This window comes from Homo sapiens, chromosome X, assembly GCF_000001405.40.
Source record: "Homo sapiens chromosome X, GRCh38.p14 Primary Assembly".
NCBI lineage: Eukaryota > Metazoa > Chordata > Mammalia > Primates > Hominidae > Homo > Homo sapiens.
In genome coordinates, this window is record NC_000023.11 from 66,233,165 (window position 1) to 66,256,427 (window position 23,263).

Sequence of the window (23,263 nt, forward strand, 5' to 3'; positions counted from 1 at the left end):
AAACTGCCTCTGTATATAACCAATTGGCCAACTGGATATATATGTGTATGATGAACTAATTATTGAGAAAGGATGGTACATATGTGAGCATGCTGCAAAATCCCACCAGGTATGATTCACCAGCCTCCTGAAAGGCATCCATCACTGCCTTACCAAACCTCAAGCCTGTTTTGAGGCCCCAGAGAGCAGTTGTCATATTAGATGCTTTGTTCATGTCTGGTAATGACAACAATTCTGGGTCTGTGAGGAGGCTTTGTAGTGCTTTGGCTGAGAGTGTTGCTCTTTGTGTCTGCCTTAATTGCCAGCTATTTGTGAGGAGCTTTCCTAGAGTGGATTTATGAGCACTGGGCTTACTGAGCAGTTTGTTTGGACAGAACATTTTCTTTTGCCCAATGTTAAACTTTTAACTACTTCACTGCCAACATTAAACATTAAAACCATTAACATAAAAAAATTTAAGTAACTCAGTGAAGAAAATCTTCTTCAACAATGGCTAATCTGTGCATCTAGTATTAGATTTTTGTCTTTCTCAAGGAAACATTATTAGTGACTATACTATATATTAAAATTAAATTGAATATATACATTTCCAAAAAGCATAACATGGAAATCAAGGCATCCATCAAATTTATGTACTGAACCAAAGTCTTGATTTTCAGAATTCACTGGTCAGTCATGATTCTAGACCAAGGCTGTCAAAACATGTTTTTATTTTTATGTATTTATTTATTTAGTTTATTTAATTTTTAATTTTTTATTTTAAGTTCAGGGGTACATGTTCAAGTTTGTTATATAGGTAAACTTGTGTCATGGACATTTGTTGTACAGACTATTATCTCACTGAGGTACTAAGCCTAGTACCCAATAGTTATTTTTTCTGATCCTTTCCCTCTTCCCACCCCTCACATTTGAGTAAGCTCCAGTGTCTGTTGTTCCCTGATATGTGTCCATGTGTTCTTATCATTTAGCTCCCACTTATAAGTGAGAACATGCAGTATTTGGTTTTCTGTTCCTGCATTAGTTTGCTAAGGATAATGGCCTCCAGCTCCATCTATGTTTCTGCCAAGGACATGATCTCATTCTTTTTTATGGCTGCGTAATCTACAGTGTACTTATAATGCTTCTTTTTTTAAAAAAAAAAATCCAATCTACTATTGATGGGCATTTCAGATGACTCTGTGTCTTTCCTATTGCGAATAGTGCTGCAATGAACATATTCATTCATGTCTTTATGATAGAACAATTCATATTATTTGAGTATATACCCAGTAATGGGATTGCTGAGTTGAATGGTAGTTCTGTTTTTATGTCTGTGAGGAATCGCCATACTGTTTTCCACCATGGTTGAATTAATTTACACTCCCACCAACAGTGTATAAGCATTCCCTTTTCTCTGCAATCTTGCCACCATCTGGTTTTTTTTTTTGACATTTTAATAATAACTGTATGGGTATGAGATGTTATCTCATGTGGTTTTGATTTTTTTTTTTTAGAGGTAGTCTTGCTCTGTTGCCCATGCTAGACTGCAGTTGCATAATCTCAGCTCACTGCAACCTCCGCCTCCTGGGTTCAAGCAATTCTCATGCCTCAGCCTTGCGGGTAGCTGGGATTGCAGGCACATGCCACCACACCTGGCTATCTTTTTTGTTTTGTTTTGTATTTTTAGTAGAGACGGGGTTTCACCATGTTGGGCAGGTTGGTCTTGAACTCCTGACCTCAAGTGATCTGCCTACCTCAGCCTCCTAAAAAGCTGGGATTACAGGCGTGAACCACCACACCTGGCCATTGAGCAGTTTTTTTTTTCCTATATGATTGTTGGCTGCATGTATGTCTTCTTTTGAGAAGGGTCTGTTCATGTCCTTTGCCCACTTTTAAATGGGGTTGTTTTTACCTTGTAAATTTGTTTAAGTTCCTTATAGATATTGAATATTAGACCCTTCTTGGATGCATAGTTTGCAAAACTTTTTTCAATTCTGTAGGTTTTCAGTTCACTCAATTGATAGTTTCTTTCACTGTGTAGAAACTCTTTAGTTTAACTAGATGCCATTTGTCAATTTTTGCTTTTGTTGCAATTACTTCCTGTGTCTTCGTCATGAAATCATTGCCTTTTTGTAGATCCAGGATGGTATTGCCTAAGTTTTCTTCCAGTATTTTTATACTTTTGGATTTCACATTTAAGTCTTTAATCCATATTGAGTTGATTTTTGAATAAGGCGTAAGGAAGGGGTCCAGTTTCAGTCTTCTGCATATGGCTAGTGAGTTATCCTAGCACCATTTATTCAATTAGGGGATTGTTTGTTTCCCCACTGCCTGTTTCATTTTTAGCTTTGTTGAAGATCAGATAGTTGTAGGTATGTGGCCTTCTTTTTGGGCTCATTATCCTGTTATATTGGTCTATGTGTCTATTTTTGTACCAGTACCATGCTGTTTTGGTTACTGTAGCTTGTTAGTATAGTTTGAAATCAGGTATTGTGATGCCTCCAGCTTTGCTCTTTTTGCTTTGGTGAACTATTTGGGCTCTTTTTGGTTCCACATGAATTTTAAAATAGTATTTTCTATTTATTTGAAAAATGGCATCTGTAGTTTGATAGGAATAGCATTGAATCTATACATTGCTTTGGACTGTATGGCCATTTTAGTGATATTGATTCTGTCTATTCATGATCCCATATTTGCATTTGTATAATCTCTGATTTCTTTGGCAGTGTTTTAGGAATGGAATGGAATGGAATGGAATAGCATTCCTGATTTAGCTCGTGGCTTAACTGTTGTTGGTGTATAGGAATGCTAGTGATTTTCCTGAGACTTTGCTGAAGTTGCTTATCAGCTTAAGAGCTTTTGGGCTGACACTGTGTGGTTTTCTAGATATAGGATCATGTTGCCTGCACACAGGGATAGTTTGACTTCCTCTCTTCCTATTCATATTCCCTTTTTTTATTTCTCTTACCTGAATGCTCTGGCCAGAACTTCCAATACTATGTTGATTGGGAGTTGTGGGAGAGTGCATCCTCTTCTCGTGCTGGTTTTCAAGGGACAAAAGGTGGTTTCCAGTTTTTGCCCATTCAGTATGATGTTGGCTGTGTGTTTGTCATAGATGGCTCTTATTATTTTGAGATATGTTACCTCATTACCTAGTTTATTGAGAGTTTTTAACATGAAGGAGTGTTGAATTTCACTGAAAGCCTTTCCTGCATCTATTGTGATAATCATGTGGTTTTTGTCTTTAGTTCTGCTTATGAGATGAATCCCATTTATTGATGTGCATATGTTGAACTGATCTTGCATCCCAGGGATAAAGCCAATTTTATCATGGTGGATAAGCCTTTTGATGTGCTGTGGAATTCGGTTTGCCAGTATTTTGTTGATGATATTTTCATCAGTGTTCATCAAGGATATGGCCTGAAGTTTTCTACTTTTGTTGTGTCTCTGTCGGGTTTTGGTATCAGGGTGATGCTGGCCTCGTAGAATGAGTTAGGGAGGAGTCCCTCCTTCTCATTTTTTTGCAATAGGTTTAGTAGGAATGGTAGCAGATCTTTGTACACCTTGTAGAATTGGGTTGTGAATCTGTCTGGTCCTGTGCTCTTTTTTTATGGAGGATGTGGCTGGTAGGCTATTACTGATTCAACTTCAGGGCTTTTTATTGGCCTGTTCAGAAATTTAATTTTTTCCTGGCTCTGTCTTGGGAGGGCGTATATGTCCAGAAATTTATCAATTTCCTCTAGATTGTCTAGTTTATGTGCATAGAGGTGTTAATAATATTCTTTGTTGGCTATCTGTATTTCTGTAGGGTCAATGGTAATATCCCCTTTGTCATTTCTAATTGTGTTTATTTGGATATTCTTTCTTTCTTCTTTATTAATCTAACTAGAAGTCTATTTTATTAGTTACTTCAAAAAACAAACCCCTGGATTCATTAATCTTTTGAATTTTTTTTTGTGTGTGTTTGTGTTTCTCAGTCTCCTTCAGTTCAGCTCTGATTTTTTTTTTTCTTCTACTAGCTTTGGGATTGTTTTTTTCTTGTGCTTCTTTAGTTCTTTTAGTTGTGATGTTAGGTTGTTAAATGGAGATCTTTCCAACTTTGTGATGTGGGCATTTTGTGCTGTAAACTTTCCTTTTCCCTCTTCATACTGCCTTAGCTGTGTCCCAGAGATTCTGTAATGCTGCACCTTTGTTCTCACTGGTTTCAAAGAAGGCCTTGATTTATGCCTTAATTTCATTATTTACCAAAAAGTCATTCAGAAGCAGGTTATTCAGTTTCCATGTAATTGTATGGTTTTGAGTGAATTTCTTAGTCTTGATTTCTAATATGATTGGACTTTGTTCTGAGAGACTGTTATGATTTCAGTTTTTTTGCATTTGCTTAGCAGTATTCTGTGTTCGATTATGTGGTTGATTTTGATGTACATGTGGTGATGAGAAGGATGCATATTCTGTTGTTTTGGGTGGATAGTTATGTAGATTTCTATCAAGTCCATTTTATCCAGTGCTGAGTTCACATGTTGAATATCTTTGTTCATTTTCTGCCTCAGTGATCAGTCTAATACTGTAAGTGGGATGTTGAAGTATTCCACTGTTATTGTGTGGGAGTCTAAAAGTATCTTTGAAGGTCTCTAAGAATTTGCTTTATGAATCTGTGTGCTCTTGTGTTGGATGCATATATATTTGGGATAGTTAGGTGCTCTTGTTGAAGTGAACCCTTTGCTATTATGTAATACCTTTTCTTTCTTGATCTTTGTTGGTTTAAAGTCTGTTTTGTCAGAAACTTGGATTGCAACCCCTGCTTCTTTGTGTTTCCATTTGCTTGGTAGATTTTTTTCATCCCTTTATTTTAAGCCTGTAGGTGTCACTGCATGTGAGATAGGTTTCTTGAGGACAGCATGCCAACAGGGTCTTGGTTCCTTACGCAGCTTGCCACTTTGTGTCTTTTAAATGGGGGCCTTTAGCCCATTTACATTCAAGGTTAGTATAGGTATGTGTGGATTTGAATCTGTCATCATATTAGCTGGTTATTATGCAGACTCGTTAGTGTGGTTGCTTTATGTTGTCATTAGTCTGTGTACTTCAGTATTTTTCTGGAGTGGCTGGTAATGGTCTTTCCTTTCCATATTTAGTGTTTCCTTCAGGAGCTCTTGTAAGGCAGTTCTGGTGGGAGCAAATTCCCTTGACATTTGCTTATCTGAAAAGGATCTTATTTTTCCTTTGCTTATGAAGCTTAGCTTGGCCAGATATGGAATTCTGAGTTGCAATTTATTTTCTTTAAGAATGTTGAACTTGGGTGGCTGAAGTGCGAGGATCCCTTGAGCCCAGGAATTCAAGGTTGCATGTAGCTATGATCATGCCACTGCACTCCAGCCTGCATGACAAAGTGAGACCCTGTCAAAACAAACAAACAAACAAACAAAAGAATGTTGAACATTGCCTGGCTTGTAGGGTTTCTGCTGAGAGGTCCACTGTTAGTCTGATGGGTGTCCTTTTGTAGGTGACCTGCCCTTTCTGTCTAGCTGCATTTAACATTTTTTTCTTTTATTTTGACCTTGGAGAAACTGATGACACAGAAGTATAGAGCTGTGAAATGGGAAATCAGGGGTCTCACAGCCTTCAGAGCTGAGAGCCCCAAACAGAGATTTACCCACGTATTTATTAACAACAAGCCAGTCATTAGCATTGTTTCTATAGATATTAGATTAACTAAAAGTATCCCTTATGGGAAATGAAGGAATGGGCCAAAATAAAGGGATGGGTTGGGCTAGTTATCTGCAGCAGGAGCATGTTCTTTAGGCACAGATCGCTCATGCTATTGTTTGTGGTTTAAGAATGCCTTTAAGTGGTTTTCTGCCCTGGGTGGGCCAGGTGTTCCTTGCCCTCATTCCAGTAAACCCACAACCTTCCAATGTGGGTGTTATGGCCATCATGAACATCACAGTGCTGCAGATATTTTGTTTATGGCCAGTTTTGGGGCCAGTTTATGGCCAGATTTTTGGGGCCTGTTCCCAACATCCAGTATCCCTGGTGGTTGAAGGGTCTCTTTCTGTTGGAATTTCAGAGGCCCGTGGTGACAGGAGGTTGCTCCTTGTCGGTTCAACTCACCCATTCCCCTTAATTTGTTGGGGACCAGGAATAAGTCCGAGTGCATGGTAGCCCCTTGTAGAGTCCCCAGAGTCTTCCCCCTTCAACCCAGCTTTTGTGTCTTCCTTCCATCTATTCTCAGTATCTTCCATTTGAATACTTTTTAGGAGCATGCCATTTGTGTCAGTACCTCAGTGGCATCTGTTCCACCTGGCTGTGTCTGGTCAGCCACTTTACTTAACAAGTGTTTATAAATGGTTAAGATTTCTTGTTCATAAATGGAACAGACCATCCTCTATGTGATAATTACTTTCACATAATCATTTTGGGGTCCTAGATATTTTAATTGTTGTTCTACTTCATCATGTGAAGATATGCATGATTCTCAGCCAGAGAAAAATGTGAAACCAAGCAGGATCTAGACCCTGACCTCATAGAGCATGGCCTGGCCAAATCCTATGGTTCCAGAGCAGAAAGGACACACTCTTCTAAGATTTTTAAAATTTAAATTAAAACTTTATATTTAGTAAAATTCTCTCATAATGTAGTGTTTTTATGAGTTTACAAAATGAGTCATATATCTACCATAACAATCAAGATAAAAATTAAATCACCTCACAATTATCCCTTATGCTGTCCCTTTGTTGTCAAGCCCTTCTCCCACCTTCGTCACCCTTGGTAAACACTGCCACTATTTTCTACGTTTCTAAGCTTTATCTTCTTCACAATGGCATATAAATAGAATAATACAGTCCATACTCCTGAGAAACAAACACATCAAACAAACCAGATTCTGATAATGATATAGATGTTGGAAATGCCTGAAAGGGAAGTAAAAATAACTATGATTAAAATGTTAAAGGCTCTAATAGAAAAGGTGAACCACCTGCAAAATAAGATGGGTAATTTCATTAGAGAGATTAAAACTCTAAGAATAAAATGGAAATGCTAGAAATTAAAAACACAATAATAGATATAGTCTCTTTATTGGCCTTATCAGGAGACTTGACACAGCTGAGAAAATCATTAGTGACCTTAAAGATATGTCGATAAAACTCGTCCAAACTGAAACACTAGGAAAAAGAAAAGGAAGAAAATGAAATATATCATCCAGGATCTGTGGGATAATATCAAACTCCCTAATATAAATGCAATTCTAATTGTATAAGGAAAAGAAATATGTGACAGAAGAAAGACTTCAAATAAAATGGCTGATAATTTTCCAAAATTGTTGACAGATATTAAACCACAGACTCAAAAAACTCAAAGCACCACAACTTGGCTAATTATTAAAAAAAAAAAAATGCACCCACCCCAGACATACAACGTAAAATCTACTGAAAACCAAAGACATTCAGAAAATCTTAAAAAAACAGAGAAAATAAAATGAAATATAGAAAGAAAAGTTATAGCAATTTTTTCATCAGAAGCCACAGAAGCCAGAAGTTAATGTTACAAAAATCTTTTACATGCTGAAAGAAAAAATAGTTTACTCAGAATTCTGTACACTGAAAATAAAAAGAAAACACAAACAACATTTTCAGAAAGAAAAGTCTATGAGGATTCATTCCCTACATACCTATACTACAAAAAATGTTAAATAAATTACTTCAGGATGAACATCCCCAATACACATAGTCATCAGATCCTGCAAGGTCAACATAAAAGAAAAAATATTACACCAGGCCCAGTGGATCATGCCTGTAATCCCAGCATTTTGGGAGGCCAAGGCAGGCAGATTGCTTGAGGTCAGGAGTTTGCAATAAGCCTGGCCAACTTGGAGAAACCCCATCTCTACTAAAAATATAGACAAGCACTTAGCATTTGTTAAGGGAATTCATTACCACCACACCTGTCTCACAAGAGGTCCTTAAGGAAGTGCTAAACATGGAAATAAAAAACCACTACCATCCACGACAAACACCAACTTACATGAATAGTCCATGGACACTATTAAGCAACTATAGGATCATGCCTAAATAAAAACCAGCTAACATCATGATGATAGGATCAAATCTCCACATATCAGTATTGGCCTTGAATGAAAATGGGCTAAACACCTCAATTAAAAGGCATGGAGTGGCAAGTTGGATAAAGAAGCAATACCCAATTCTATGCTGTCTTCAAGAAACCCAACTCACATGCAATGACACCCATAGGATCAAAGTAAAGTGATGGAGGAAGATCTATCAAGAAAACAGAAAACAAAAAAGAGCTGAGGTAGCTATTATTATTCAAGATAAAACAGACTTTAAACCAACAACAATCAAAAAGGCCAAACAGGGGTACTATATAATGATAAAGGGTTTAATTCAACAGGAAGACATAACTATCCTAAACATAAATGCGTTCAACATTGGAGCACCCAGATTGATAAAACAAGTTTTTAGAGACCTATGAAGATACTTAGATAACCAAACAATAATAGTGGGAGACTGCAACACCCCAATGACAATGTTGGACAGATTATCAAGAGATAATATTAACAAAGATATTTGGGACATAAACTTGACATTCAACCAAATTTCATTCACAATAGCCACAAAAAGAATAAAATACTTAGGAATAGAGCAATTCAGGGAGGTGGAGGATGTCTGTAACAGAATTACAAAACACCACTCAAAGAAATCAGAGATGACATAAACAAATGGAAGAGGATTCCATGCTCATGGGTAGAAAGAATCATTATTGTTAAAATGACCATACCACCCAAAACAATTTGTAGATTCAATGGTATTCCTATCAAACCACTAAGGACATTCTTCACAGAATTAGAAAAAAAACTATTTTAAAATATATATGAGCCAAAAAATAGCTTGAGTAGGCAAGACAATCCTAAGCAGAAAAAAAAAAAAACTGAAGGCATCACATTACCCAACTTTAAACTATACTACAAGGCTATATTAACCAAAACAGTGGGGTATTGGTACAAAAGCAGACACATAGACCAATATAACAGGTTAGAGAATGAAGAAATAAAGCTGCACATGTAGAACCATCTGATCTTTTTTAAATATGACAAAAGCAAGGAATGGGAAAAGAAGTTCCTAATCAATAAATGATGCTGGGATAAATGACTAGCAATATGCAGAAGATTGAAACTGGACCCTTTCTTTAATCATATACAAAAATCAACTCAAAATTGATTAAAGACTTAAATGTAAAACCTAAAACTATAAAGACCCTAGAAGAAACCTAGGACATATCATTATGCACATAGGCCTTGGCAAGATTTTATGAGAAATACTCCAAAATCAATTGTAGCAAAAACAAACATTGTCAAGTAGAATCTAATTAAACTAAAAAGCTTCTGTACCAAATAAACTACCAACAAAGGAAACAGACAGCCTACAGAATGGGAGAAAATATTTTCAAACTATGCATCCAACAAAGGTCTAATATCCAGAATCTATAAAGAACTTAAACAAATCAACAAGCAAGAATCAAACAACCCTATGGACAAAAGACACGAACAGATACTTCTTGAAGACATAGACGTTATATTCTGTGGCCAACAAGCATATGAAAAAATTCTCAACAACACTAATTATTAGAGAAATGCAGATTGAAACCGCAATGAGATGCCATCTCACACCTGTCAGAGCAGCTGTTATTAAATAGTCAAAAACCAACAAATGCCAATGAGATTGTGGATAAAAGGGAATGCTCATACACTGCTGGCAGAAATGTAAATTAGTTTAGTCACTGTGGAAAGCAGTTTGAAGATTTCTCCAGGAACTTAAAACGGAACTACTGTTTGACCCAGCAGTCTCATTAATGGGTATATAACCAAGGAAATACAAATAATTCTATCATAAAGACACCTGACGTGCATATTCATCACAGCACTTTTCATGATAGCATGAACAGTGTATTGAATAATAAAAAGTGGTACTATTCACTATGGTGTACTAGGCATCCATGAAAAAGAATGACATATTTTTGCAGAAACATAGATGGAACTGGAGGCCATAATCCTAAGTGAACTAATGCAGAAACAGAAAACCAAATACTGCATGTTTTCACTTATAAGTGGGAGCTAAACTTAGAGTACAAGCAAACGTGTACTCAAAGTTATGGGTAACAATAGACACCAGGGTGTACTTGAGGGTGGAGGATGCCAGGAGGCTAAGGATCAAAAAGCTAGTTAGGTATTTTTGTTGAATTGAACCCTTTACCATTATGGAATGCTCTTCTTTGTCTTTTTTTGATCATTGTTGGTTTAAAGTCTGTTTTGTCTGAAATTGGAATAGCAACTCCTGCTTTCTTCAGTTTTCCATTTGCTTGGTGGATTTTTATCCATCTCTATACTTTGACCCTATGGGTGTCATTGCATATGATATGGATCTCTTTTAAACAGCATGCAGTTGAATCTTGCTTGTTTATCCAACTTGGCACTTCGTGCCTTTGAATTGGGGCATTTAACCAGTTTACATTCGGTTAATATTGATACATGTAGGTTTGATCCTGTCATTGTGTTGTTACCTGGTTATTATGCAGACTTGATTGTGTGCTTTCTTTATAGTGTCAATGGTCTACGTATTTAATCATGTTTTTGTGGTCATTGGTAAGGGTCTTTCCTTTTCCAGGTTTGGCACTTCCTTAATGACCTCTTGTAAGCCAGGTGTGATGATAACTAATTCCCTTAGCATTTGCCTGCCTGAAAAGGATCTTAGGATCTTATTTCTCCTTCTTGTATAAAGCTTAGTTTCACTGGTTATGAAATTCTTGGTTTGAATTTCTTTTCTTTAAAGATGCTTTATATAGGCCCCCAGTCTCTTCTGCCTTGTAGAGTTTCTGCTGAGAAGTACACTGTTAGCCCAATGGGGTTCCTTTGTAGGTGACCTGCCCCTTTCCTCTATCTGCCTTTAACATTTTTTCCTCTATTTTGACCTTGAAGAAAACTGAAGACTATGCACACTAGGAATAGTCATCTTGTATAGTATCTTTCAGGTGTGCTATGCAATTCCTGGATTTGAATGCTGGCTTCTCAAGTGAGCTAGGTGAAATTTTCATGGATATTTTCAAGTGTGTTTTTCAAGTTGTTTGCTCTCTCTCTTTTTCAGGGTTGTCAATGAGTCATAGATTTGGTATCTTTACATAATCTGATATTTCTCAGAGATTTTGTTCATTTATTTTTATTTTTGTCTTAATGGGTTATTTCAGAGAACTAGTCTCCGAGCTTTGAGGTTCTTTCCTCAGCTTGGTTGATTCTGCTGTTAATACTTGCAATTTTATTATGAAATTATTGAGGTGAATTATTCAGCTCTATCAGATTAGCTTGGTTCTTTCTTAAAATGCCTATTTTCTTTTATCTCCTATATCATTTTATTATATCCCTTAGATTTTTTTAAATTGGGTTTCTACTTTCTCCTGAATGTTGATCTTCATTCCTATCCATACTCTGAATTTTATTTCTGACATTTTACCCATTTCAGCCTGATTAAGAACCATGGCTGGATAACTAGTGTGGTCATTTGGAGGTAAGAGGACACTCTAGCTTTTTGAGTTTTCAGAGTTTGTGTGCTGATTCTTTTTCATCTGTGTAGGCTGATGTTCCTTCAGTCTTTGAAGTTGCTGTCCTTCAGATAAGTTTTTCTTGCTTTTATATTCTTTGATTCCCTTGGGGATTTGATTGTGGTGCAAGGTGGGTTCAGTAGAATGTTTTTTTTTTTTTAAGTGATCCTCTTAAAAATATTTTAGTACATAGAAAGTCATTTATACATATTATTAAAGCAAATTATGAAACATTATGTGTAGAAAACTTCCATTTATGTGAAAAATAGGCCAACTGAGGACCAATTGTAAAGACCATCAAGGCTAGGAAGAAACCGCATCAACTAATGAGCAAAATAACCAGCTAACATCATAAAGACAGGATCAAATTCACACATAACAGTATTCACCTTAAATGTAAATGGGCTAAATGCTCCAATTAAAAGACACTGACTGGCAAATTGGATAAAGAGTCAAGACCCATCAGTGTGCTGTATTCAGGAAACCCATCTCATGTGCAGAGACACACATAGGCTCAAAATAAAGGGATGGAGGAAGATCTACCAAGCAAATGGAAAACAAAAAAAGGCAGGGGTTGCAATCCTAGTCTCTGATAAAACAGACTTTCAACCAACAAAGATCAAAAGAGAAAAAGAAGGCCATTACATAATGGTAAAGGGATCAAGTCAACAAGAAGAGCTAACTATCCTAAATATATGTGCACCCAATACAGGAGCACCCAGATTCATAAAGCAAGTCCTTAGAGACCTACAAAGAGACTTAGATACCCACACAATAATAATGGGAGACTTTAACACCCCACTGTCAACATTAGACAGATCAACGAGACAGAAAGTTAACAAGGATATCCAGGAACTGAACTCAGCTCTGCACCAAGTGGACCTAATAGACATCTACAGAGCTCTCCACTCCAAATCAAAAGAATATACATTCTTTTCAGCACCACACCACACCTATTCCAAAATTGACCACATAGTTGGAAGAAAAGCACTCCTCAGCAAATGTAAAAGAACAGAAATTATAACAAACTATCACTCAGACCACAGTGCAATCAAACTAGAACTCAGGATTAAGAAACTCACTCAAAACCGCTCAACTACATGGAAACTGAGTAGAATGGTTTTGATTCTAGTCTACTCCTTGGTGTTTAAATAACTCCCTCTGATTACTGTCTCTGTGCCTATGTTTCTTTTGTTGGGTGTTCTTGTCCATGAAGCTCCCTCAGGCAGAGGCTGCAGTTGCAGACAGGCCATGTCCTTGCCGGGTCAGCTGTAATCTGCTGTCGGAGTATTTCCTGGGGGAACATGGGGTTGTGCCTGCCCACAGAGTCCCAGCAGAAGTGGGACTGCTGGGTTGGAAGCTCTAGCAGGTGTAGCCTGTCTGTCCATGAGAGGTGGAGGTGGATGGAATTGATTGCCCTGTTGTCTGGGTGTTTCCTGGGAAAACAGGAAGCTGAATAGGACTGAGTTCAGACAGAAGTGAGACTGTTGGGTTAGAAAATCTAGCAGGCATTACCTGCCTGGCTACCAGTGGCAGGAGTGGGTGGGATTGCCCTTTCTGCCATCTGGGTGCTTTTTAAGACAGCAGGGGGCTACAGATGTTGGCTGAGTTTAGGTAGAAGTGAGACCATTGTGCCAGAAGCTGGTGCTAAGCCCTGTCTGATGAGGGGCAGTAGAGCAATCTTACTCCTTCTAGGCACCATGACTTTAGTCTTTATTGGGGCTGTGGTGTCAGTGCTGGTCTATTCTGTGGCCTAAGACTTGTAGAGTTTCCCTTGGAGTCAAGAGTTTCCCCTGCAAAGCATCCAGGTGGTCCTCTGCCTCAGTCTAGAAGCATGGTGGGGGCAGTGTGTGGGGGCCAGGGTGATTCTGCTGTTCCCAGTCTTGCATAGGCTCCTGTGGAGGATGTGAGTATCCCAGAAGATTCTCACTTACTCACCTTTCCCCTGTTGGAGAGGTTCTTCTGGCTCTTTGCTGTGCCCATACAGGCTGGTGCTCAGCTTCCCTCTTCTCTGATTTCTGTAGCCCTGCTACCTTGATGAATCCTGACATGGTTTCTCTGTTGATTGGCCTTCAGGGCCAGTGTTTATTAAACTTTTTGTTTCTTCTCTGTGAGAGTGGAGTACATGAGCTGCTTCTATTCTGCCATATTGGCCCCTCCCACCCTCTCATTTTTGAAGGGTCATTTTGTCAAATATAGAATTCTTTATTGACGAGTATTTTTTTCTTTCAGCACTTTAAATATGTCAGTTAACTTATTTCTAACCTCCATGGTCTCAGAGAAGAAATTGGCTATTAATCTTATTGAGAATTTCTTTTCTGTGACAAATCTTGTTTTGCATCTTTTCAGGTTCTCTTTGTCTTTTTTAAAATAGTTTAATTACAATGTGCCTTGGTGTGGGTAGAGTTTTGCTAATCCTACTTTTAGTCAGCTGAGCTTCTCGGATGTGTAGATTTACATGTTTTGTCAAATGTGAGACATTTTTAGCCATTATTGTTTCAGATGTTTTTTCTCCTTTCTCTCTCCTCCTTCTTTGACTTCCATAATACATATATTAATCCGCTTGATGTTGTCCTACAGGTCCCTTATGCTCTGTTCACTTTTCTTCATTATTCTCTCCTTCTGCTCCTCATACTAGATATTTTCCATTGTCCTATCATCAAGTTATCTGATTCTGCCTTCTGCCTGCTCAAATCTGCTGTTTAACTCTTCTAGTGAATTAAAATTTCAATTCTCCTTTTCTATTCCAGAATTTGTTTGGTTCCTTTTTATTTCCATATCTTTATTTATATTTGAATTTTGTTCAGATATGGTTTTAAGTTTTTCTTTACTTTTTATTTATGTTTTCAGTTCTTTAAGCATACTTAAGCAGCTGTTATAAGTAATTACATCAGTGATATAGTGGGAACAAAAGTCAAGTTACATGAACCAAAAAGTAAAAAGGAGTTGTGGGAATGAAAATAGGGAGTATCAACAACTTTTCTCAAGGCTTGTTTTAAAGGGTATTGAAAAATGGGATATTGTAGTTCGATAGAAATGTGTGACTAAGGAAGGTTTTTTAAATTGCATAGTTTGGGCTAACTGTCCAATACCATAGCCACCAGTTACATATGGCTGTATGAACTTAAATTCATTATAATTAAACTAAATTATAAATTAAGTTCCTCAGTTATATTAGCCACATGTGACTACTGTATTGGACAGCACTGAAAACTCCTCTGATTTGCACCATCTTCCCTTTCTTTTATCCAGTTACAAATAATAAGGCATCTTTTCTCTCATTAAATATTAATTCCTATCATTCATACTCTGGACCCCATTCCCTCTCCATTTTTTTACTTACCTAAGTCCTATGGTTATTATTTCTCTCTCTCTCTCCCACCTAATTATCAGTCTCTCCCTCTTTGCTAGATCAACATGCTCTAGTACTGTAGTACCACCTCATTCCTGGTTTCACTTTCTATGCTTTCAATTATTCATGTTCAATCATAATCTGATAATATTAAATGAAAACTTCCAGAAATAAACCATTTTTAAGTTTTAAACTTTGTATAAGTGGTGTGATAACATCTCATACTATCCCACCTGGGATGAGAATGTTTCCTTTGTCCAGCATATCCACACTGGATATGCCACCTGCCCATTCGGCACTTAGCTGTCTCAGTTACCAGATCAACTGTCACAGTTTTGCAATTCTTGCGTTAATGTAGCTTTTATTTTACTTAATAAAGGCCCCAAAGTGGTAGAGTAATGATGCTGGCAATTTGTATGTGCCAAAGAGAAGCCGTAAAGTGCTTCTTTTAGTGAAAAGGTGAAAGTTTTTGAATTAATAATGAAAAAACTTGTATGCTGAGGTTGCTAAGATTGATGGTAAGAATGAATATTCTATCTATGCAATTGTGAAGAAGGAAAAATAAATTCATGCAGGTTTTTCTGTAGCACTTCAAACTACAAAAGCTATGGCCACAATGTATGATAAGTGCTTAGTTAAGATGAAAAAGGCATTACATTTGTGGGTGGAAGATATAAACAGAAATGTGTTTCAATTGACAGTAATCGGCTTCAGTACTATCTGTGCTTTCAGGTTTCCACTGGTTTTGGAATGTATCCTCCTTGGATAGAGGGGACTACTGTATAGTGAGAGAAGTTTGCGGATTTTACAATAGTATGATGAGAGTTTTTTCTGATGGTTTCAATTTTCTTATTCATATCTAAGTAAAGGCCATCAGTGTTGTGGAGGTGGGTGTGCTGGTGTAGGAGGTTTGAAGAAAAGGAAAAAATGTATGAAATTGTTGATTCAAAGGGTAGAAAAACAAACTTTTCTGAGAAATGGAATAAGACTGATGAACAGTATAGAGGACCCACGTGAGTAGAAACACTTCCCCCTCTGAGGCTCAAGGGCTTGGTAGACATGGATAAGGAATGGAATTTTAAAGGATGAGAGCTTTTGTAGAGTAGTGGTAAAAGGAATTTTCAAGATAGACTGCATGGGCTCAAATTTCAGCTATGATGTGTGATCTTCAGAAAGTGATATAATATCTATGAGCTGAAGCCTTACTTATTTCATATATACAATGGAATTAATAGTAATATCTGTCTCATAGGGATTTTGAATTAATGTATTTTAAGTGCTATGCAAGTTTTTGCCAATATTATTCTTATTCTGTGAAATTTGAGTTGAATTCAGTTGTTGAGAGTGAGAAGGTAAGGAACAAATGAGGCTTGAGGAGTGTATTGAAAGTTTGTACTTGTCACCCAGAGGAACAGGATTGGAAGCTATTGAACCAAACAGCACTGAGGACACAATTGAGACTGGAAAATAGAAATTTGAAGAAGCAGCACTACAGAAGGCTGTAGAGTTTTCTCCAGCTGTGTTCAGCACATCACAGTCTAAGATCAGAGAAGGCAGATTGTAAAATACACCTAGGGAGGTTAGTGGTACCCAACTTTAGTGGACATGACAATCACTTAGAGGGATTGTTAGATTGCCCATAGGCTGCTGAGCCCATGCCCAGAGTTTCTGAATCTTCAGGTGTGGAGAGATTCCCAACAATTTGCATTTCTACAAATTGCTAAGTGGATTCTGATGCTGCTGGTGGAAGAAATAAACTTTGAGGACCACTGATTTACAGGAAGTTATTATGGGGTGGGAGTGGTGAAGGGGATGCATTGTGTAGAATAGAGTAACAGGCAAGAAGACATGAGAGTGCAGGATATTTGTAAAAGAGTAGTTCAAATGCTGACCATGGCAGTGAGGGAATTTGGACCAGATAGGGAAAAGAATGGAGTCAGGAGGAACCTGATTAAAAAAGGTAGAGGAGAGTAGGGATCTTCTCAAGGACATAGCACTTATCCCACCTTGTAATTCTACATGGTTTTTTTGTTGGTTTACTTGTATGTTGTTTCCTCTCCTGACTAGATTCTAAGAGGACAGGCACTATGTTGTTTTGTTGATGACTCTTTCCAACACTCAACATGTAGTATTTGTTCAATACAGCTTTGTTGATTGTATGAGTGAAAAAAAATTGCATGCTTTCACCTCTGACTCTTCTTTAAGCTCTCCTCATTCCTTGAGATTCAGACCAAGCCTAAACTCTTCTATAACACTTTATCCGGTGATTAATACCTCTAAACTCCTGTAGTTGTTTAAGTCTTACAGTATAATTGACTTTTTTGATGTACAGTTGTATGAATTTTAGCACATGAATAGATTAGTATAATCACCACCGCAATCAGGAATTAGAGCAGTTACTTTCTTGCTATCCCCGCCCTCTTTGAACCACTGATCTGGTCTCAATTCCTATTGTTACATCTTTCCTAGAAAAAATATGCATATATATGTATATATATTCTTTGATTTACATAAGTGATATCTACATATAAATGGAATATATTTATGTATATAAATGGAATAATACAGTATGCAATACTTCAGGATTAACCTTTTTCACTCAGCGTAATTCTCTGGAGATTCATCTAAGTTGTTGTATGTGTCAATAGTTTACTATTTGTTATTGCTGAGTAGTATTCCATGGTATGAATGTACCACATTTTGTACAACTTTTCACTGTTAAAGGGAATTTAGATTTTATCCAGTTATTAGCTCTTGTTAATAAAATTACTATGACTATCTGTATAGAGGCATTGATTGATTGAGACAGAGTCTCGCTCTGTCACTTAGGCTGGAGTTTAGTGGCACAATCTTGGCTAACTGCAACCTCTGCCCCCAAGGTTCAAATGACTCTCATACATCAGCCTCCCGAGTAGCTGGGATTACAGGTGCCCACCACCACATTAAGCTAATTTTTGTATTTTTAGCAGAGATAGGTTTTGCCATGTTAGCCAGGCTGGTCTCAAACTCCTGACCTCAAGTGATCCACCCACTGTGGCCTCCCAGTGTGCTGGGATTACAGGTGCTGTGTAGAAGCTTTTGTGTGAACATCATTCACATTTCTCTTTGGTGGATACCTAGAACTAGGATTTCTGGATCATATAGTAAGGGGATATTTAACTTTATAAGGAACTGCCAAACTTTTTTCCAGAGTGTCTGAACCATTTTACATTCCCATCAGCAAAGTGTGAGTGATTCAGTTGTTCCACATCCTTGCCAGCATTTGGTGTTATCACTGATTTTTAAAGGCCATTGTGACAGGTATGTAATGATATCTCATTGTAATTTTGATTTGCATTTTCCAAATGGCTAATAATGTTTAACATCTATCATATGTTTATTTGTCATTCTTATATCTTGTGTTGTGAAATGTCCGTTCAATTTTTTTTTGCCTATTTTTAATTGGGCTGTTTTTATTTTGTTAAAATTTAAGAGTTCTTTATGTATTTTGGATACAAGAGTGAAGCCTTGACTACTATGGTCAGTCCAGGGCTCTCTGAGGAAATTATATTTAGGCTGATATTTGAATGTAGCATAGAAATCAGCCATATTAAGAAAGTTACAGGACAGCTTCAACTGCAAGTGTAAATACCTTGAGACAGGAATGATCTCAATGTATTTAAGGAATAATAAGAAGACAGTGTGGCTGTAGCATACTGAGAATGATGAAGAATAATAAGAAATGAGTTTGTAGATATAAAGAATGATAAGTAAGATCATGTAGAGTCTCGCAAGCCATGGTAGGGAATTTTTGTTTAGATTTACTCACAGTGAGGAGCTGTTGCAGAGATGTGGCATGGTTTACTTTGTATTTTAAAAGGTTACATTTGTTGTTATGTGAAGCATATGTTATGAGAGGAACAAGAGAGGTGGCTATTGTAGTTTTTCAGGTGCCAGAAGATAATAGCGCAGACTATGGTGGTAGCAGTGGAGATGGGTAGAAGTGGATAATATGAGATAGACTTTTCAGGTAGATCCCTCAGAATTTTGATGATGGATATGAGATGTGAGGAGTGATAATAATCAAAGATAACTCTTGTGTTTTTGGCTTACATAACTGGTGGCACTATCTATTGAGATAAGGAAGACTGAAGAGGAGAAGGTTTGGGGGAAAATCAAATATTTATTTTTAATATGTTGAGTCTGAGATAAAAATTAGACAAATGGAGGTGCCAAGAATGCAGTTGAATAAGTCTTGAACTCGATGGAGAGGTTGGAGAGAAGTTCATGTAAACAGAACAACATGACAAAAGATACAGAGCTGTGAAAGTATGAGGTATGCCCAGAGGTGAGCATGTAGTTAGGTTCGACCAGTATATATTTTGCAGAACCAGAAAGAGTAAGAGATATGGCTGAAAAGGCAGGCCAGGGCTGAGTTAGAGAGTGCTTAGCTGATGGGGAAATTTTTGAAATTTATTATTTGAATATTAGGGAGCCATTACAGGCCTTTGATAAAAGGTATGACATGAACAAAGAGAGATTTTGGAAAGATTAATATGGCATAGCCAAAACAATGTTAAAAAAGAACAACAAAGTTGGAGAACTCATACTTACTGGTTTCTAAACTTACTACAAAGCATAGAATTCAAGATTGTGTGGCATTGGCATAAGGATAGACAGATAGATCAATAGAATAGAATTGAAGATCCAGAAATAAACCCTCTAATTTTTGGTCAATTGATTTTCAACAAAAGTGCCAAGACCTTTCAATGGAAAAAAATAGTCTTTTCAATAAATTGTGCTGAGGCAATTGGATATCCACATGCAAAACTATGAAGTTGGACCTCTAACTCACAACATACAGAAAAATCAACTCAAAATGGGTCAAAGACCTAAATATAAAAGCTAAAGCTATAAAACTTTTAGAAGAAAACAAAGGAGCAAACCTTCATAACCTTGGATTAGGCAATGGTTTCTTATATACAACACTAAAAGCACAAGTGAACAAATAAATTGAAATACCTTAAAATTTGAAATATGCTTTAAAGGACACCATAAAAAAGTGAAAAGACAATCCACAGGATGTGAAACAATTTGACAATCATATATCTGATAAGGGACTTGTATCCAGAATCCATAAGGAACTATTGCTTGATGTCATTGTTATTTGACAATGCTATTATCAAAAAACCCATAACCCAATTTAAAATGGGCAAAGGATTTGAATAAACATTGCTCCCAAGAAGATGTTAAAATGGATATTAAGCACAAGAGAAGATTCTCAACATGGTTAACCGTCAGAGAAATGGAAATCAAAACTATAGTGAGATAACACTTTTCACATGCTAGGATAACTAAAATAAAAGATTTTTAAAAGCAGACAATAACTAATTTTCATGCAGATGTTGAGAAATTGGAACCCTAATATGTTGCTGGTGAGAATGCAAAATGGTGCACGTGCTTTGGAAAGCAGTTTGGCAATTCTTTAAGTGGTTAAACATAGCATTACCATACAACTCAGGAATAAATGAAAACATATATCCACATAAAAACTTGTACACAAATGCTGATAGCAGCACTATTCATAATAACTAAAAAGTGGAAATGACCCAAATGTTCATCAACTGAAGAATGAATGAATAAAATATGGTGTATCTATTCAATGGACTATTATTTGGCAATAAACACAACTAAGTATTGATATGTGCTACAAAGGGGGTGGACAATGAAAACATATTAAATAAAAAAATTCAGTCACAAAATAAAATGTATGATATAATTCAATATCTATGGAATGCCCCTAATGGACAAGTCTATAGAGACAGAAAGTGGAATATTGATTACCTTGGGTGGGGTGGGGCAGGAATGGATGGGTGGATTAGGGGATGAGGGCAGTACAGGAGTTTTTTTGGTGGTAATGAAATGGAAAATGAATCGTGGTGGTTACAAAGTTCTGGTAATATACTAAAAACATTGAATTGAACATTTTAAAAGGGTGAATTGTATGGCATGCAAATTACATCTCAATAAAGTTGTTAGAAAAGATTAATATAGCATTATTTGGAAGATGAATTGGAGGGGGCAAGGCTGGAGGCAGAGAAACATGTTAGGAAGCTTTGTAATGGTTGAGTTAAGAAAACAAGGGTCCAAACTAGGGCAAGAGTAATGATAATTGAAAGGAGAAGAGGATGGTTCTAAAATATAGGGTAGAGGTATAATCAATAAGACCTGCCATTTGGTTAGATGTTGAATTACGAAAGTGAAGAAGTAAAGATTAAAGTTTTGAGTCTGAGTAAGTAAAAGAGTGATAATGTTATTTCTAGATAGACACTGAGAGCACAGATTGGGAAACGGTGGTTTTTCAAAGGAGGGAGGTGAGTTCATACAATCTGTTTTCCTGGTGCTGTCAGGACAATCTTTAAAAGATATTCAGCATCTAATTGAATATTTGGAGTTGGAGCTTAGTAACAAGGGGAGTCTGGCTGGAACTAAGTATTTAAGAGTCATCGATGCACAGATCATAGTTGAAGTCAGAAAGGTGACTAAAGGTTCCAAGGAGAGAGTATGGAAAGAGAGAAGAGAACTGAGACAGAACTTTGTGCAAACAACTGCATTTAGGATATAGCAGCTGGAAAAAATAAACCAAAGCAGAGCACCCCACCCCACCCCCGCCCCGCAAAGAAAAAGATGATATTAAAAGCAGAGAAAAAAAAGTAGCAAGGCTGCCTTACTAGAGGATTGGACCTGGGCCTTTGAGGATAGGGAAAGTAGAAAAGAAAGGTTGAGGGTGTCCCAGGAGGGAGAAGAGCAAGGTCACAAAAATAAAATGATGGAGGAATGATGAAGAAAGATCCTAAAGAAGATGGGATTCACTCACCACTGCCTCTTGGGGAGACCTGGGAGTTGAGAGAAATTTCTGACCCGGTGCAACTGGAGGTTCCTTGTTACACTTCTAGGTGAGGTGGTCACTTATCAGTGGAACATCCCAGAGAGGTCTGGCCCTGGGCCCAATGACTCTGCTTGTGTTTCCTGGATCTATTATTCTGCAGTGGATCCCATCAAGGTAAATACAAGATTGGCTACCTGGAGGTGGGTCAAACTCCCTGGCAAAAAGAAGCTATTAACCAGGTGTAGTAAGAAGCTTACTCCTGAGATTCTAGAGCCTAGAATTTGGGGAACATTCTTCAAAAGCTGGACTTATTTTAATAGACAGGAGGAGGGACGAAGGGAATGGGTAGCACCAGATATTTGTCATGAAGATTTTCTTCCTTATCTTTTCATTTTGGATCCTATAAAGCAACATGTTCTCATTATAAAAAAAAACAAACACACAAACAAACAAAAAACACAAAAGAAACCTGGGATTGGTTGTACAGAGATTGAGGTTCTAGTCCCAAATTTGGTTATAGCATGCTTTTAGAGTGACCTTAAATAAGTCATTCTGCCTCTGTTTTCTCATCTGGAAAATGGATTTATCGATCTAGCCATCCATCTACAGCCAGCCATTAGTAATCATTTATTGAGTGCCTACCACATTTTAGGCATTTTACTTGGTGCTTTGGATGATATAAATTTAAGATACATTTCCCACCTTCAAAGAGTATGGTCTAGTTGAGCAAGAGGGAACCTGGAGAAGGCATCACAATGGGAGGTGCATGTACTCTGGGCCTTGAAAGCTGAGTCACATTATGCCATCAGATAAGGGATATGATGATGGAGAGGGCATTGCAGGCAGAGGAAACAGCACAAAAAAACACTAGGTTGTAAAAATGCTTGGTAGGCTAAGAGATCAATAAATAGTTTAGCCTAGATAAAGCATAGGTCAGATAGTGCATCTTAACTGAGTCCCAAGATAATTGTTAGAATGAATTCAAATAACATAGTGGGGTACTTATAAATGTAAGATATCATGAGGAAATGCTGAGAGGCACAGTGGGCTTGTATGAGAAGCTGGCTCCCTGCGGAGTACTGCTACCCAGAAACAACTCCATCTCTTTCTCTCTCTCCCACTTCCTCCCTTCCTCAGGACATGTATAGTGGCCTGGTGGGGCCCTTGGCTATCTGCCAAAAGGGCATCCTGGAGCCCCATGGAGGACGGAGTGACATGGATCGGGAATTTGCATTGTTGTTCTTGATTTTTGATGAAAATAAGTCTTGGTATTTGGAGGAAAATGTGGCAACCCATGGGTCCCAGGATCCAGGCAGTATTAACCTACAGGATGAAACTTTCTTGGAGAGCAATAAAATGCATGGTCAGTAGTAAAAAACCTACTCTTGTTCCAAAGCAGTCCCTACTGGTTACATGGGGATATTTAATAGGCCTATTGCTACCTAAGGGAACATAATCCC

At 37.3% G+C, this 23,263-nt stretch overlaps 1 protein-coding gene across 26 annotated transcripts in view; it reads left to right on the top strand.

The window, feature by feature from the left end:
- Nucleotides 1–23,263, top strand: part of HEPH (hephaestin) — a 106,193-nt gene that overhangs the window by 70,494 nt on the left and 12,436 nt on the right. For 17 of the 26 annotated variants that reach the window (NR_159802.2, XM_047442695.1, XM_047442694.1 and 14 more), the window contains 2 exons: nucleotides 21,871–21,977; nucleotides 22,941–23,166. The exons of 8 other annotated variants lie outside the window; for them this stretch is intronic. Coding sequence is in view for 16 of the 18 variants with exons in the window: in XM_047442695.1 (XP_047298651.1) it covers nucleotides 21,871–21,977; nucleotides 22,941–23,166 (333 nt within the window). In the remaining 2 variants the exon portion in view is untranslated. Of the gene's footprint in view, nucleotides 1–18,125; nucleotides 18,236–21,870; nucleotides 21,978–22,940; nucleotides 23,167–23,263 lie in introns of all 26 variants that reach the window. One more of the 26 variants, NR_159801.2, reaches the window with a different exon arrangement.